This window comes from Homo sapiens, chromosome 17, assembly GCF_000001405.40.
Source record: "Homo sapiens chromosome 17, GRCh38.p14 Primary Assembly".
Classification (NCBI taxonomy): Eukaryota; Metazoa; Chordata; class Mammalia; order Primates; family Hominidae; genus Homo; species Homo sapiens.
In genome coordinates this window covers 37,948,525-37,965,666 of record NC_000017.11, presented here as the reverse complement: position 1 = coordinate 37,965,666, position 17,142 = coordinate 37,948,525, and the positions used below count along the sequence as shown (strand labels likewise).

At 41.9% G+C, this 17,142-nt stretch overlaps 1 long non-coding RNA gene across 1 annotated transcript; it reads left to right on the top strand.

Annotated features, from left to right (window-relative positions):
• Positions 1–3,466: 3,466 nt before the first annotated feature.
• LOC102723608 (uncharacterized) lies at positions 3,467–15,938 on the top strand. The gene is made up of 3 exons (XR_429954.3): positions 3,467–3,602; positions 6,616–6,723; positions 15,814–15,938. It is a non-coding gene; the product is annotated as an uncharacterized LOC102723608 (long non-coding RNA).
• The last annotated feature ends 1,204 nt before the right edge of the window (positions 15,939–17,142 follow it).

Sequence of the window (17,142 nt, the reverse complement as noted above, 5' to 3'; positions counted from 1 at the left end):
GACCAAAAACTAGTTAAGATACCAAAAATCTGTGGACCAAAGTAACAATTGCCACTCATTTATATTCATTTATAATGCTAAAAATGTGCACCACCTCTAAAGGCACATACCCAGTTTACGTCTTTTTTTTTTTTTTTTTTTTTTGAGAGGGAGTCTGGCTTTGTCACGCAGGCTGGAGTGCAGTGGCGTAATCTCAGCTCACTGCAACCTCCACCTCCCGGGTTCATGTCATTCTCCTGCCTCAGCCTCCGGAGGAGCTGGGACCACAGGCGCCTGCCACCACGCCCAGCTAATTTTTTGTATTTTTAGTAGAGACAGGGTTTCACCGTGTTAGCCAGGATGGTCTCGATCTCCTGACCTCGTGATCCGCCTGCCTCGGCCTCCCAAAGTGCTGGGATTACAGGCATGAGTCACCACGCCAGGCCTATTTTTTGTTTTTTTAGACAGAGTCTTCCCCTGTCACTCAGGCTGAAGTGCAGTGGCCCTATCTCAGCTCACTGCAGCCTCTGCCTTCCAGGTTCAAGCAGTTCTCATGCCTCAGGCCCCTGAGTAGCTGGGATTACAGGGGTGCGCCACTGTCTCGGGTTAATTTTTGTATTTTTAGTAGAGATGGGGTTTCACCATGTTGGCTAGGCTGGTCTTGAATTCCTGGCCTCAAGAGGTCCACCTACCTCGGCCTCCCAAACTGCTGGATTATAGATGTGGGCCACGCGTGGCCCAACTCTACTATTTCAATGCAGCTCCTGTACCCTAGGTCATCACTGACTTCCCAGTTGCTGAATCCAGTTGTCTTTACTGAGTTGGTCCTTAATTTAACTTTCTTTTGCATTGAAGCTACTGACTGACCACAGCATTTTGAAACTCTGTTCCTCTTATTACTGTGATTCTACTTTCCTTATTTTTCATCTTATCTCTTAAGTCTGTGGCTTCTCAGACTTCCTCACAATTGATTGCTTATTTTAAAAATTCAAAAATTTAAACCTCCCGAGCAGTTCAAAAACAATATACCTTTGAAATTTTTTAAACTTTTCAGAGTTGCAAGAATAGTTCAGTGATCACCAGGTGTTACCATTTTGCCATATTTTCTTTGTCTCTGTGTCCCTCCCTTTCTACCTGCCCCCACATATATGTGTATCTATGAATATTGACATTTTTTAACATTAATAAATTTTCTTTCTGTACAATTTGAGAGTTAACTGCAGATTTCATAGCACTTCACCCCTAATTTCTTCTATACATCTCCTAAGAATAAGGGCATTTTTTTTTTTTTTTTTTGAGAAGGAGTCTCACTCTGTCACCCAGGCTGGGGTGCAGTGGTGCAATCTTGGCTGACTGCAACCTCCACCTCCTGGGTTCAAGCGATTCTCCTGCCTCAGCCCCCCAAGTAGCTGGGATTACAGGTGCCTGCTACCATGCCTGCCTAAGTTTTGTAATTATAGTAGAGATGGGGTTTTGCCATGTTGGCCAGTCTGGTCTCAAACTCCTTACCTAAGGTGATCCGCCCTCCTTGGCCTCCCAAAGTGTTGGGATTACAGACGTGAGACTCCATTCTCAGCCTCTTTTTCCTTTTGTAATTAACAAGTGATCTATGGCATGATAGAAACAGTGTGAATATTCTGTCCCATAATAATCTTTACTTAATGGTTTCATCTGGATTGCTTCTTGCCCAAATCAAATATTACTATAGTGATTAGAAATTGGAGACTTTTCTATTTTTTCTGTATTTTTTCTATATTGTCATTCTTCTGTAAAGATTTTTTTAAACTCTTTTTTTTTTTTTTTTTTTTTGAGACGAAGTCTCGCTTTGTCACCAGGCCGGAGTGCAGTGGTATGGTCTCAGCTCACTGCAACTTCTGCCTCCCAGGTTCAGGCGATCCTCCTGTCTCAGCCTCCAGAGTAGCTGGGACTACAGTCATTTGCCACTGTGTCCAGCTAATTTTTTGTATTTTTAGTAGAGATGGGGTCTCACCATGTTGGCCAGGATGGTCTTGATCTCTTGACCCCGTGATCCAGCCACCTCAGCCTCCCAAAGTGCTGGGATTACAGGCGTGAGCCACCGTGGCTGGCCCTATACTCCCTTTTTAAATTTTTTTTTTTTTTTTTTGAGATGGAGGTTCACTCTGTTGCCCAGGCTGGAGTGCAATGATGTGGTCTTGGCTCACTGCAACCTCCGCCTCCCAGGTTCGAGCAATTCTTCTGCCTCAACCTCCTGAGTAGCTGGGATTACAGGTACATGCCACCACACTCGGCTGATTTTTGTATTTTTAGTAGGGATGGGGTTTCACTATGTTGGCCAGGCTGGTCTTCAACTCCTGACCTCATGATCTGCCCGCCTCAGCCTCCTAAAATGCTGGGATTGCAGGTGTGAGCCACTGCACCTGGCCCTTTTTTTTTTTTTTTTTTTTTTGAGACAGGGACTTCCTCTGTTGCCCAGACTTGAGTGCAGTGGTATGATCATGGCTCACCACAGCTTGGACACCAGGCTGCCTCAGCTCACTGCAACCTCTGCTTCCCGGGTTCCAGTGATTCTCGTGCCTCAGCCTCTGGAGTAACTGGGAGTACAGGTGCTCACCACCATACCTGGCTAATTCTTGTATTTTTAGTAAAGATGAGGTTTCACCATGTTGGCCAGGCTGGTCTCAAACTCCTGGCCGACATGGTGATCCACCTGCCTTGGCTTCCCAAAGTGCTTCATATTGTTAGCCCTAATTCTAGTCAAATTCCATAGCGTTCTTCCTCTTTATTTTTATTTTTTTATTTTTGAGACAGAGTCTTGATCTGTCCCCCAGGCTGGAGTGCAGTGGTGTGATCTCGGATCACTGCAGCCTCCACCTCCTGGGTTCAAGCAAATCTCTGCCTCTGCCTCCTGAGTAGCTGGGATTACAGACACCTGCCACCATGCCCAGCAAATTTTTGTATTTTTAGTAGACACAGGATTTCATCATCTTGGCCGGGCTGGTCTTGAACTCCTGACCTTGTGATCCACCCACCTCGGCCTCCCAAAGTGTTGGGATTACAGGCGTGAGCCACCGCGCCCGGCCTGTATTAGATATTTTTAAGTCAGTTTCCTAAGACAATTAAATATTTCAGGTAGTTGGGACTTTTCTTTTTTTGGTTTGTTTTATTTTGCTTAATTTAACCATTTTAAAAATGATTCTCTGGGAATTTTTTCTTCAAAATATAGAATATGTGTGCATTAGTTTGCTAGGCTTGCTGCAACGAAGTACCACAAACTGGGTGGCTTAGACAACAGAAATTTATTATCTCATAGATCTGGAGACTAGAAGTTCTAGATCACGTTGTTAGAGTTGGTTTCTTCGACAACTGTGAGAAACCTTATGTTCCATGCCTCTCCCCTGGCTTCTGGTGGTTTGCTGGTCATCTTTGGCATACTTTGGCTTGTAGGTGCATCACCTGGATCTCTGCCTTCATGTTCACATGGTGTTCTACCTGTGTGCATATCTGTGGACAAATTTCCCCTTTTTATAAGGATACCAGGCATATTGGATTAGGGTTCCTCTCTACTCCAGTAGGACCTCATCTTCACTAATTACATCTGCAATAACCCTTTCCAAATAAGGTCACATTCTGAGGAACTAGAGGTTAGAGTTTCAACATACGAAATTTTCTGGGGGGTGGGTAAGGGACACGATTCAATCCATAACAATATGTTTATGAGTAAATGAGTTAGTGTGTTATTGTCTTTCTGCCACCTCAGAATCTGAGAAAACAGTTTCTTTTTCCATTCCTTGGGCTGTAGGTGGAGAAGGAGGAGGATGATGATGGTGATTATTTTTTGGTCATGCCCCATAATGTGACCCACTTTAAAAAACAACAAACAATTGTAAGGAGGAGAACTGTCATACACCTACTGCCCAGCTTAAAAATAATTAGATCATCTTCTTTAAACATAACTGTCATCCCATCATCACACCTAAGAAGTTGACAGTTTCCCCAGTTTTTTTTTTCTCTTTTTTTTTTTTTGAGATAGGGTCTTTCTCTGTTGCCCAGGCTGGAGTGCAGCGGCATGATAGTGGCTCATGGCAGCCTCATCTTCCCAGGCTCAAGGGATCCTCCCATATAGCTGGGACCACAGGGGTGCATCACCACAACCAATTTTTTGAATTTTTCTAGAGATGAGGTCTCCCTGTGTTGCCCCACCTAATTTTTTTTTTGTTGTTGTTCCATTCTTTTTTTTTTTTCTCCTGTTTGTAAGGATTTAATCAAGGTCTGTATGTAGTTTGGTTACTATGTCTCTTAGGTCTCTTTTCGTTTATAGATTCCCCTCGTGATTTACTGAAGAAACGGGGTCATTTGTCCTGTAGAATTCTCAAATTTTGATTTTGCTGATATTATCCCCAGAGTGTCATTGACCATGTTCATCTGTTCCCCAAATTTCCAAAAACTGGTAGTTAAATTTAGGTGGTTGATCTGATTCAGATTACACTCTCAGTATCGCATATGCTTTGATCAGGAGGCATAATGTGTACTTGTGTGTGCGTATGTGTGTTTTTTTAGTGATGTTAGTGGTCACTGCCTGTGTCAGCATTTCACTACCAGGGTAATTTGGCAATGTCTGGAGACACACTGATTGTCACAGCTTGGGAGAGGGAATGCTATAGGTACCTTCAGGGGTAAGAGTCAGCACAGCACAGCACAGCCCCCTAACGCAAAGTATTAATAGGCCTAAAATGTCAGTAGCCCTGAGGTTGAGAAACTCTGGCCTACTTTTGTAGTTTCATCAGGTGTTTGTGAAATGGTTTTATTCTAACTGTTATTTCTTCTTTCTTTGTTAGCTGGAATTCTTTCATAAAGAGAAACTCTTTGATCAGTTAGTTACCCAAGGTACAGTTCATACAGAAAAGGCAGGATGTATGTTTGATTCTTTCCTAGTTTTCAAAATAATGAATTAGTTCCCTAGCATCTTCCAAAATTGACCAATGAACTTTGTGTGTGTTTTTTTCTTTTTTAGTATATTATGAACTTACACGTTTTAACATATTTGTGTTTCCTTTCATCGCAGTTATTTTTATTTTATTTTTATTTATTCATTTATTGTTTTGAGGCAGGGTCTTAACTCTGTCACCCAAGCTGTAGTGCAGTGGTATGATCGCTGCCCACTGCAGGCTTGACGTCCCGACCTCCAGCAATCCTCCCACCTCACCCTCTTGAGTAGCTGGGACCACAGGTACACCATCATGCCCAGCTAATTTTTGTGTTTCTGGTAGAGACGGGGTTTTGCCGTGTTCACCAGGCTGGTCTTCAAATCCTGAGCTCAAAAGCAATCCACCTGCCTCTGCCTCCCAAAGTGTTGGGATGATAGGCGTGAGCCACCGCACCTAGCAGTTATTTTTATTGGTGCTCGTTTTTTCCCTTCGTTGAATGCTGGGTGCAGTGAATGCTGGGTGCATCTTCATGTTGGGTTCTGAGTCCTTTTGACATGAGCACATTGTCTGGTGTTGTACGAGAGAGCAAAATAAGGAAACTGGTGTTCTATGCTTATCTTGTACATTTTCCCCACACTTGGAATCAGCCATTCCTCCAGGGAGTGCAGGTTCACAGTCTGGGCTCTAAGAGAATTATAAGGTCAATGTGGTCATCATCTTTTAGTATTAAGTCAGATATTCTAAATTATTATTTACTTCTTACATTTGGCCCAAGAGTTTAACCAGATATTTTGGGAAAGAGAGAAGGAATTAAATAAATAAATCTCATGGTTAGAACTGAAGTGATAACTATACTTTCACAAGGAAATATAACTTATAACCCATGCGGAATAGAAAATTATTTTTGCTCCTTTAGATTTCTGAAGGAATGAAATGAGCTGTGGGAAGAAACTTTAACTGGAGCATCTTACCAGTATTATTCATGTTTTAACTCTGCTTCAGTAGTTTTTCAGGTTTATTACAAACCTGCAGTAGCCAACTGAATTAATTATCTCTAAACAGGGATTTAGCCAGTGGACTAGGCACACTGAAGCTTTGTGAGAGGGGAAATTGATATTCACATTTTTTCCAGCTTGTTTTGAGCTCGATATATTCTTTTTTTTTTTTTTTTTTCATTGAGACAGACTCTCGCACCGTCACCTGGGCTGGTGTGCAGTGGCACGATCTCTGCTTGCGGCAACCTCTGCCTCCCAGGTTCAAGCAATTCTCCTGCCTCAGCCTCCCGAGTAGCTAGGATTACAGGCGCCCGCCACCACGCCCGGCTGATGTTTTGTATTTTTAGTAGAGACGGGGTTTCGCTTTATTGGCCAGGCTGGTCTTGAACTCCTGACCTCATGATCTGCCTGCCTCAGCCTCCCAAAGTGCTGGATTACAGGCCTGAGCCACCATGCCCAGCCAATATATTCACATTTTTAATAGGAATAACAGTATACTAAAATCTTTTTTAGTGCATGTTTAAGATTTGAAGATGTAATTTGACTCAGTACTTTCCACTTGCATTTTTTTCTTCCACTTGCATTTCTCCACTATTAGAATAGTGCCTGCTAAGACTATTCTAATACTTTATTATAGTTAACCCCTGCGAAAAGAGCTCCCAGAGCTTACAGTGCATTTGATTGATGTCATATGGACTATTCATTATTTTCTAAATTATTTTGTTTGTATAGAGCAATCTGAAGAGGATGTAAGTCAGTTTGATTCCAAGTTTACACGTCAGACACCTGTCGACAGCCCAGATGACACAACTCTCAGTGAAAGTGCCAATCAGGTGTTTTTGGTAAGTGAAAGAATTTCCATGTAGTCATGGGAAATTTTAAGTATGAGGATGGGCTCTTCGATAAGAAAATTCAGTTTGCTTGCTTTGCAGCTCATGTAGGTAACCTGGCCCACTTTTTTTTTTAAATAAGCCATGCTCTTATAACTTATTGATACCTACAAAATTGATTTTCATAATCCAACATTTTATTTTAGCAATTAGAGTGGGAATGTACAATTCTTTGGAGAGTATGATTCCCTTTTTTGGTTGGGCCACAGACTTAAAATGATGTTTGGCTTAGCATCTCAACCAAAAATTAAGTCATAGCAGTGGGAGAGAAAAACCTCACTAACTACATGTATTTTATTTCTGAAACAGCTATAGATTTTTGGTACCTTTTTTTTTTTTTTTTTTTTTTGAGACAGGGTCTCACCTTGTAGCCCAGGCTGGGTGTAGGGTGTAGTGGTGTGATCACAGTTCACTACAGCCTTGACCTCCCAGGCTCAAGTGATCCACCCATTTCAGCCTCGTGAGTACCTGGACTACAGGTGTGTGCCCCATCCAGCTAATTTTTTATTTTTTTGTAGAGACAGAGTCTCACTATTTTACTCCTGGACTCAAGCTATCTTCCCACCTCGGCTTCCCAAAGTGCCAAAATTATAGGCATGAGCCATCATTCCTGGCCCTATTTTTGGTACTCTTAACATAAGTAGGGGATTTTTTTTTTTTTTTTTTTGAGACCGAGTCTCACTCTGTCGTCAGGCTGGGGTGCAGTGGCGCGATCTCAGCTCACTGCAACCTCTGCCTCCTGGGTTCAAGTGATTCTCCTGCCTCAGCCTCCTGAGTAGCTGGGACTACAGGCGCCTGCCACCACGCCCAGTTAATTTTTGTATTTTTAGTAGAGACAGGGCTTCACCATGTTGGCCAGGATGGTCTTGATTTCTTGACCTCATGATCCACCCGCCTTGGCCTCCCAAAGTGCTGGGATTACAGGCATGAGCCACTGCGCCCGGCCAAGTAGGGGATTTTTTCAACCTAATTGTGAATATTTGACATCAAATTATATTGGTTCATATGTAATAGTGAATTCTCGTTGTAGAAATATCCGTATAGATTTATAGCTTGTCTCCTCAGAAAAGTAAAGGTTTTAGATGTTGGCCAACAGAAATGATGGATTTATATCAGATGACCATCAATGCATACATACTATTTTGCTTAAATACCATATATGCTTGTTGATTTTATTACTGTACTTATATGTCACATGAACATCTTTCTCATTTTGTATGCTTTTTTTTCTTTTGTCGTTCCTGTATGGAATACCTCTAGGGAGAATAGAATATGGGGAAAACAATTGTTTGGGAGTGGTTTTTTCCCTCTTTTTGAGTTCACTGGATTTGTCACTAACTTAATTCTATGCTTTTCTTCCCCACACTGCTCACTATATAACACAAGTAGTGTTGTATCTTATGGGATGGGAAATAAGCTCTAAAGTTAGCATGGAGCTGGGACATGGTGGCTCAGGCCTATAACCTTGAGGTCAGGAGTTCGAGACCAGCCTGGCCCACATGGTGAAACCCCATCTCTACCAAAAATACAAAAATTAGCCGGGTGTGGTGGCATGTACCTGTGGTACCAACTACTTGGGAGGCTGAGGTAGGAGAATGACTTGAACCCGAGAGGCAGAGGTTGCAGGAGCCAAGATCGTGCCACTGCACTCCAGCCTGGGCAATAGAGTGAGTGAGACTCTGTATAAAAAAAAAATAATTAAAAAAATAAAGTTAGCATGGAATGCAAAAGTTGTGTATAGTACAGTATGGTTTCAAGTAAACAACACTGAATAGTAATAATCCTATAAATTAGTAATATAGAGCACGTAGGCAAAATATAATCTTACAGTATTAATTACATAAGAGATAAAAGATGAGTGAGTGCATGCATGTTTTTAAATTCAAGTTTGATGTGTGCATGATCAAAGTTACGGCATCTCTGTTAGTAAAATCTTAGGTTCACTCAGGGAAGTGGGCATGAATCACTTTAATTTTGGCTTTTTTTTTCTCTTTCATGTACTACTGATGTGGAATTTATACCTTTGATTTAACATAGAGACCTTTTCATCAATTGAACATTGCAGAATTTCAACTTATGTGACAGTTTCCCCCCACAAAATAGAAGCATTTTATTTAGCTACCAAGAAATCCTAAGTTGTGGTGGTAAATGTGAGCTATTGACGCTTTCATTGCCAGTTAAAAGTATTGTTGAGCTTTTCATAATTACTTAAATTGGCTATAACTGATGAACAGAGCAACTCATTTGTTAGGTTGTAGCCAGAATTCTGTACATAAAGCGGGTCTCTTGAAACATTAGTAAAAACAAAAATAGGCCAGGTGCAGTGGCTCATGCCTGTAATCCCAGCACTTTGGGAGGCTGAAGTGGGTGGATCACAAGGTCAGGAGTTCTAGAACAGCCTGGCCAATATGGTGAAACCCCATCTCTACTAAAAATACAAATATTAGCCAAGTGCGGTGGCACACGCCTGTAATTCCATCTACTCGGGAGGCTGAGGCAGGAGAATCACTTGAAACCAGGAGGTGGCAGTTGCAGTGAGCCAAGATCGTGCCAGTGCATTCCAGCCTGGGCAACAGAGCAAGGCTCTATCTCAAAAAAAAAAAAAATTCCGCATACATAAGAAGAGAATATGCATTAAAAAAATCAGCAGAGCCTCACATTCCAGGATTTTCTACACAAGAAACCATTCCTAAAATATGTGCTTGGAATTACTAGGGTTTCTCTTGCAAACATTTTAATAACACCTCATTTGTTTTTTTTATTATAATATTTATTTAAGCAAAATTTCTTTTTTTTATTTTATTATTTTATTATTATTACACTTTAAGTTGTAGGGTACATGTGCACAATGTGCAGGTTAGTTACATATGTATACATGTGCCATGCTGGTGTGCTGCACCCATTAACTCGTCATTTAGCATTAGGTATATCTCCTAATGCTATCCCTCCCCCCTCCCCACACCCCGCAACAGTCCCCAGAGTGTGATGTTCCCCTTCCTGTGTCCATGTGTTCTCATTGTTCAATTCCCACCTATGAGTGAGAACATGCAGTAACACCTCATTCTTTAGGGGTGTGGTTATATGTGTCATGTTATTAGATCTTTACAGCAACTCTCCTGGGTAAAGCGGTTATTACTAGGTCATTTTATAGAAGGAAAAATAACCAGTACTTTTTTTTGCTTTACTTCAGTAGCTATTGCCTCCTTCAATTTGACATTTCAATCCTGGCACATAGTGGGGGCTCAACAAATATTTGCTGGAGGAATGCCATTTAAAATACAGTGATTGGATAGGAGAATATTTGAGGGCATTAACAATTTTTAAAAGCCAAAAAAAAATTACAATTGGACTTATGAGATTTTGATTTTTTTGTGTATTTTCTTTTAAAAAATAAGCTTCTCTAAGCTGGGCTTGGTGGCTCATGCCTGTAATCCCAGCACTTTGGGAGGCTGAGGCAGGTGGATCACCTGAGGTCAGGAGTTTGAGACCAGCCTGGCCAACATGGTGAAAACCCGTCTCTACTAAAAATACAAAAATTAGCTGGCCGTGGTGGCACACACCTGTAATCCCAGCTACTAGGGAGGCTGAGGCAGGAGAATCGCTTGAACCCGGGAGGCAGATGTTGCAGTGAGCCAAGATCACACCACTGTACTCCAGCCTGGGTGACAGAGCAAGACTCTGTCTCAAAAATAAATAAATAAAGTATATAAATAAATAAATAAGCTTCTGTTTTGGCTTCCTCCAATGTAGTCTCTTTGAGTAGGAAGAAATTGTTATGATTCAAACTAGTAAATTCTTTTTTTTTTTTTTTTTTTGAGATGGAGTCTTGCTCTTATTGCCCAGGCTGGAGTGCAGTGGCGTGATCTTGGCTCACTGCAGCCGGCTCACTTGAACCGGGTTCAAGTGATTCTCCTGCCTCAGCCTCCCAAGTAGGTGGGATTACAGGTGCCTGCCATCACGCCTGGCTAATTTTTGTAGTTTTAGTACAGATGGGGTTTCACCATCTTGGCCAGGCTGGTCTTGAACTCCTGGTCTTGATCTGCTGACCTATATCCGCCCGCCTCGGCCTCCCAAAGTGCTGGGATTACAGGTGTGAGCCATTGCGCCCGGCCGACAGGTAAATTCTTATATCAAAAAACTGAGTTAGACTTGGTCCCTGGAGCTGTTTTCCATCCCTAAAAAGATGATGTCAAGCTATCATGTATAATAAATAACAACTCAATTGACCACATATTTTCCTTTAAGCCTAATGATGAAATAATATTATAATGAAATACTTAGAAGTTTTAAGGGAAAAAATCCTTTAAGTCATTAAATTAAAATTGAAACCAAAACAATAACTTCACTGTTTTAGGATAAAATTGGCATATGAAAGGTTTGATAGTGAACGACAGTAAGATTAACCTACTACAGCATTTGCCTTTAGCTTTTACTGAGTAATACTTGGAGCTATATATTTATAGCATTTGCTATAAATGTGCAAATGAAGACATTATTTATTGTATTACTGCTGAGATTAATATTGTCTTTTTCAGATTTCTAAAACATTACAGCAAATGCGCACATGAGGGCGCTCTAATCAGCTAGATGTGGAGAGGGTAGGCATTTGTTGACTGTTAAGTCAAAACTAGTTCTATACTTTTACAGATGGAAAAATCAAGGTCCACCAAAGAGGTTATGATTCTACACGAGTTATTCTCTAGAGGAAACAAATTGGGTATTAGAATTTTGAAAAGATTAAACAGAAATCCCTGTCAGTGAATTTATGCTGGAGAATTTTGACTTTTATCCTAGCAACTCCTTATTGAAAATCTTTACCCATGCCATGATATAATTTATCTTCAATCTTAAATGGGTTTGGTAATAGTGTTTATAAGATGTAGGAGAGTTAATTAGAATATTTATTTTTATGAACTTTTGCTTTATAAAATTAACAAATGTTAATTGTGCTTCATTTATCCTTTTTTTTTTTTTTTTGAGACGGAGTCTTACTCTGTCACCCAGGCTGGAGTGCAGTGGCGTGATCTCAGCTCACTGCAACCTCTGCCTCCCAGGTTCAAGCGATTCTCCTGCCTCAGCCTCCCAAGTAGCTGGGACCACAGGCACGTGCCACCACGCCTGGCTAATTTTGGTACTTTTAGTAGAGACGGGGTTTCACCATGTTGGCCAGGGTGGTCTCGAACTCCTGACCTCAAGTGATCTGCCCGCCTTGGCCTCCCAAAGTGCTAGGATTACAGGTGTGAGCCACCAACACCTGGCCCATTTATACTTAAGGCTGATTCTCAACTGATTTGGGTAAGATCCTTAGTCTTTCCCCATCTCTGACGTAATTCCTAGTTTGTCCTTTGGCTTTCCTGTGTATATAAAGCTACCAGGCTGCTTGCAGATTTTTCGGGGAATAAGTCCCATAAACACTCACAAAGATTTTATTAGGGAGAAGCTATGATGCGAATATAGAATGTAGATTTTTTAAATTTCAAAATCAGTATGGGCCGGGCGCGGTGGCTCACGCCTGTAATCCCAGCACCTTGGGAGGTCGAGGCGGGCGGATCACGAGGTCAGCAGAGCGAGACCATCCTGGTTAACACGGTGAAACCCCGTCTCTACTAAAAATACAAAAAATTAGTGGGCGCAGTGGCAGGCGCCTGTAGTCCCAGCTACTCGGGAGGCTGAGGCAGGAGAATGGCGTGAACGCGGGAGGCGGAGCTTGCAGTGAGCGGAGATCGCGCCACTGCACTCCAGCCTGGGCGACAGAGCGAAGACTCCATCTCAAAAAAAAAAAATCAGTATGTAGAGCTGGGCATGGTGGTGTGTGCCTATTAGCCCAGCCACTGGGGAGGCTGAGGCAGGAGAAGCCCTTGAGCCCAAGAGTTCAAGACTAGCCTGGGCAACACAGCGAGACCCTCATCTCGAAAAATAAATAAATAAATAAATAAAGTATTGCAATATTTATTATATAGGCAAATTTTTTTCAACTTAAGTGCTACCCTCATCAGGGGAAGATTTGTTTGATTAGATCCCCACACAGGCTGGCCGCTTCCTCATTTCTACTTTTTCTTTTCTTTTTGAGATGGAGTTTTGCTCTTGTTGCCCAGGCTGGAGTGCAATGGCGCAATCTTGGCTCACTGCAACCTCCGCCTCCCGGGTTCAAGCGATTCTCCTGCCTCAGCCTCCCGAGTAGCTGGGATTACAGGCACCTGCCACCACACCCGGCTAATGTTTGTATTTTTAGTAGAGATGGGGTTTCACCATGTTGGCCAGATTGGTCTCAAACTCTTCAGTTCAAGCGATCTACCTGCCTCGGCCTCACAAAGTGCTGGAATTACAGGTGTGAGCCACTGCGCCCGGCCTCATTTCTACGTTTTCAAAGAAGTCAATTTTCTTTAAAAAATAAACTCTTTTGGCCACGCGGCGGCTCATTCCTGTAACCCTAGCACTTTGAGACTCAGAGGCAGACGGATCGCTTGAACTCAGGAGTTCAAGACCAGCCTGGCCAACACGGTGAAACCCTGTCTCTACAAAAAATTAGCTGGATGCAGCGGCACGTGCCTGTAGTCCCAGCTACTCAGGAGGCTGAGGCAAGAGAGTCACTTGAGTCCAGGAGGCAGAAGTTGCAGTGAACTGAGATCACGCCATTGCACTCCAGCCTGGCTGATGGGAGTGAAACCTTGTCTCAAATAAATAAATAAATAAACTCTTATTTTTTTAAAAAAAAAAAAGCAAATCATGAAACAAAACAAAACCCAGGGCTCTGAATGAAAAAGATCTCTCCTTTAGGGGGCTAGGTGATGGAAAGGAAAATAGGTCATGAATTTCATGTTCTCATTTGTCTTCGTTAATGACTTGTATGTATATATATTTCCATTGAAGACATAGATATGCATTTGATCACCTACACTTGTTTGTATTTTGAGTCATAAATTAAGGCATTTCCTGTCCAGAAAGCACCTGACAATCTTATGATAAAAAACATGGAATTTTAAAATCACAAATGTAAATAACAAGCCAGGCACAGTGGCTCACGCCTGTAATCTTAGCTCTTTGGGAGACCAAGGTGGGTAGATTGTTTGAGCTCAAGAGTTTGAGACCAGCCTGGGTAACATGGAGAAACCCTGTCTTTACAAAAAATAAAAAATTAGTGGGGCACGGTGGCATGTGCCTGTAGTCCCAGATACTCAGGAGGCTAAGGTGGGAGGAGTGCTTGAGCTCAGGAGGTCGAGGCTGCTGTGAGCTGTGGTGGCAACACTGCACTCCAGCCTGGGTGACAGAGTGAGACCCTATCTCAAAAAAAAAAAGGAGTGCAAATAACAGATGACCTTACAAACATCAAAAGTTATGTCTTTATAATAAGTTTTGTCTACATTTAATGAAATATATTGGACAAGGAAAAAATGTAGCAGTATGCGTATGGCTTTATCTTGGCCCTGCCCACTACTGTGCCCTCATTTCTTTTCCTTCCCACTGAGTCCTTCCACACTACCACACCACAGCAAACCTGACAAGCTTCTGCCTGAAATAGCACCATTGCACTTCTCTTCCCTTTGCCTGAAACATTCTTTTTTTTCTTTTTTCTTTCTTTCTTTTTTTTTTTTTTTTTTATGAGATGGAGCCTCACTCTCTCGCCAGACTGGAGTGCAGTGGCACGATCTCAGCTCACTGCAACCTCCACCTCCCTGGTTCAAGCGATTCTCCTGCCTCAGCCTCCCGAGTAGCTGGGATTACAGGTATGCACCACCATGCCCGGCTAATTTTGTATTTTTAGTAGAGACGGGGTTTCTCCATGTTGGTCAGGCTAGTCTCGAACTCCCGACCTCAGGTGATCCGCCCGCCTCGGCCTCTCAAAGTGCTGGGATTACAGGCGTGAGCCCCTGTGCCTGGCCACCACAATCAATTTTAGAATATTTTCATTTCTCTCAAAAAAAAATACCATACCTATGAGCAGTCACTCCCCATTTTCTCCATCCCTCAGTCCTAGGCAACCACTAATTTACTTTCTTTTAGGATAGGATTTGCCTATTTGGACATTTCATATAAATGGAACCATACAATTTGTGATCTTTTGTGACTGGCTTTTTTCAAGTAACCTAATGTTTTCAAGGTTCATTCATGTTATAGCATGTGTCAGTACTTATTTCCTTTTTTTTTATGGCTCAATAATATTCTGTTGTAGGAATATAACACATTTCATTTATCTGTTTATCACTTTTTTTTTTTTTTTTTTTGAGATGGAGTCTCAGTCTGTCACTCAGGCTGGAGTACGGTGGTGTGATCTTGGCTCACTGCGGCCTCCGCCTCCTGGATTCAAGCCATTCACCTGCCTCAGCCTCCCAAGTAGCTGGGATTACAGGCACGTATACCATGTCCCGCTGATTTTTGTATTTTCAGTAGAGATCGGATTTCACTCTGTTGGCCAGGCTGGTCTCGAACTCCTGACCTCAAGCAATCCTCCCGCCTTGGCCTCCCAAAGTGTTGGGAGCCACCACACCCAGCTGTCTCCACTTTTTGACTATTATGAATAATGCTGCTATGAACATTCATGTGTAAGTTTTTGTGTGGACATATGTTTTCCTTTCCCTTGGGAATATGATGAAGCCTGGCATTGCCAGGTCATATGATAACTCTATGTTTAAGCTTTGGAGGAACTGCCAGACTATTTCCAAAGCAGTTCCAACTTCATTGCAAAGCATTTTACATTCCCTCCAGCAACATATGAGTGTTTCAATTTTTCCACATTTTCTCCAACACTTGTTATTATGTGTCTGTTTATTATAGCCATTCTTGTGAGTGTGAAGTGGTATCTTAACATGGTTTGGATTTGCACTTCCCTGATGGCTAATGATGTTTCTATGGTTTGAATGTTGGAGTCCTCCAAAATTCATGTTATAACCTAAGACCTAATGTGACGATGTTAAGAAGTGAGGCCTTCAAGGTGGTGATTAGGTCATGAGGGCTCTGCCCTCATGAATGAAATTAATGCCCTTATAAAAAGGCTTCACATAACATTTCTTCTTCTTTTTTCCTTTCTTCTCCTGCCATGTGAAGATGCCACTGCGAGAACGGGAACAATGGAACAGGCCCTCACCAAATGCCAAATGTGCTATCACCTTGATTTTGGATTTCCCAGCCTCCGGAACTGTGAGGAATAAATTTTTTTACTTATAAATTACTTAGTCTCAGGTATTTTGTTACAGCAGCACAAACAGACTAAGACAGAAATTGAGTGTATTTTCTTGTGCTTATTGGCCATTTATTTTCTTTCTTTTATTTTTATTTATTTATTTATTTTTAGGTGGGGTTTTGCTCTGTTGCCCAGGCTGGAGTGCAGTGGTGCAATCTTAGCTCATTGCAACCTCTGCCTCCCGGGTTCGAGTGATTCTTGTGCCTCATCTGCCTGAGTACCTGGGACTACAGGCATGCGCCACAACGCCTGGCTGATTTTTATATTTTTAGTAGAGATGGGTTTTCGCCATGTTGGCCAGACTGGTCTTGAACTTCTGGCCTCAAGTGATCCACCTGCCTTGGCCTCCCAAAGTGTTGGGATTATAGGCATAAGCCACCACCTGGCCCTTATTGGCCATTTGTATGTCTTCTTTGGAGAAATATCTGTTCAGATCTTTTGTCCATTTTAAAATTGGGTTATATCCTTTTTATTATCAAGTTGTAAGAGTTCTTTATGTATTCTAGATCCAAGTCCATTGTCAGATACTGTAGTCTCCCGTATGCTCTCTGCAGTTTCAGTTACCTGCGGGCAGCTGCAATCCCAAATATTACAGTATTTTGAGACAGAGAAAACTATTCATGTAACTTATGTTAAAGTATATTCTAGCCAGGCACAGTGGCTCACACCTGTAATCCCAGCACTTTGGGAGGCCGAGGTGGGTGGATCACAAGGTCAGGAATTGGAGACCAGCCTGGCCAATATGGTGAAACCCTGCCTCTACTAAAGATACAAAAATTAGCCGGGCGTGGTGGCAGGTGCCTGTAGGCCCAGCTACTCGGGAGGCTGAGGCAGGAGAATCGCTTGAACCTGGGAGGTGGAAGTTGCAGTGAGCCGAGATGGCGCCATGGCACTCCAGCCTGGGTGACAGAGCAAGACTCCATCTCAAAAACAAAAAGTATATTCTAATTGTTCTCTTTTATTATTAGTTATTGTTGTTATTCTATTACAGTGCCTAATTTATAAATTAAACTTCATCATAGGTATGTATGTATGTATAGGAAAAAAACATAGTACATATAGAGTTTGGTACTATCTGCAGTTTCAGGTATACACTGGAGGTCTTGGAACATATTTTGTTACATATATATCTATATATTTATAAATATATATTTATATATAGCTATATATTTATGTATCTATATATCTATAAA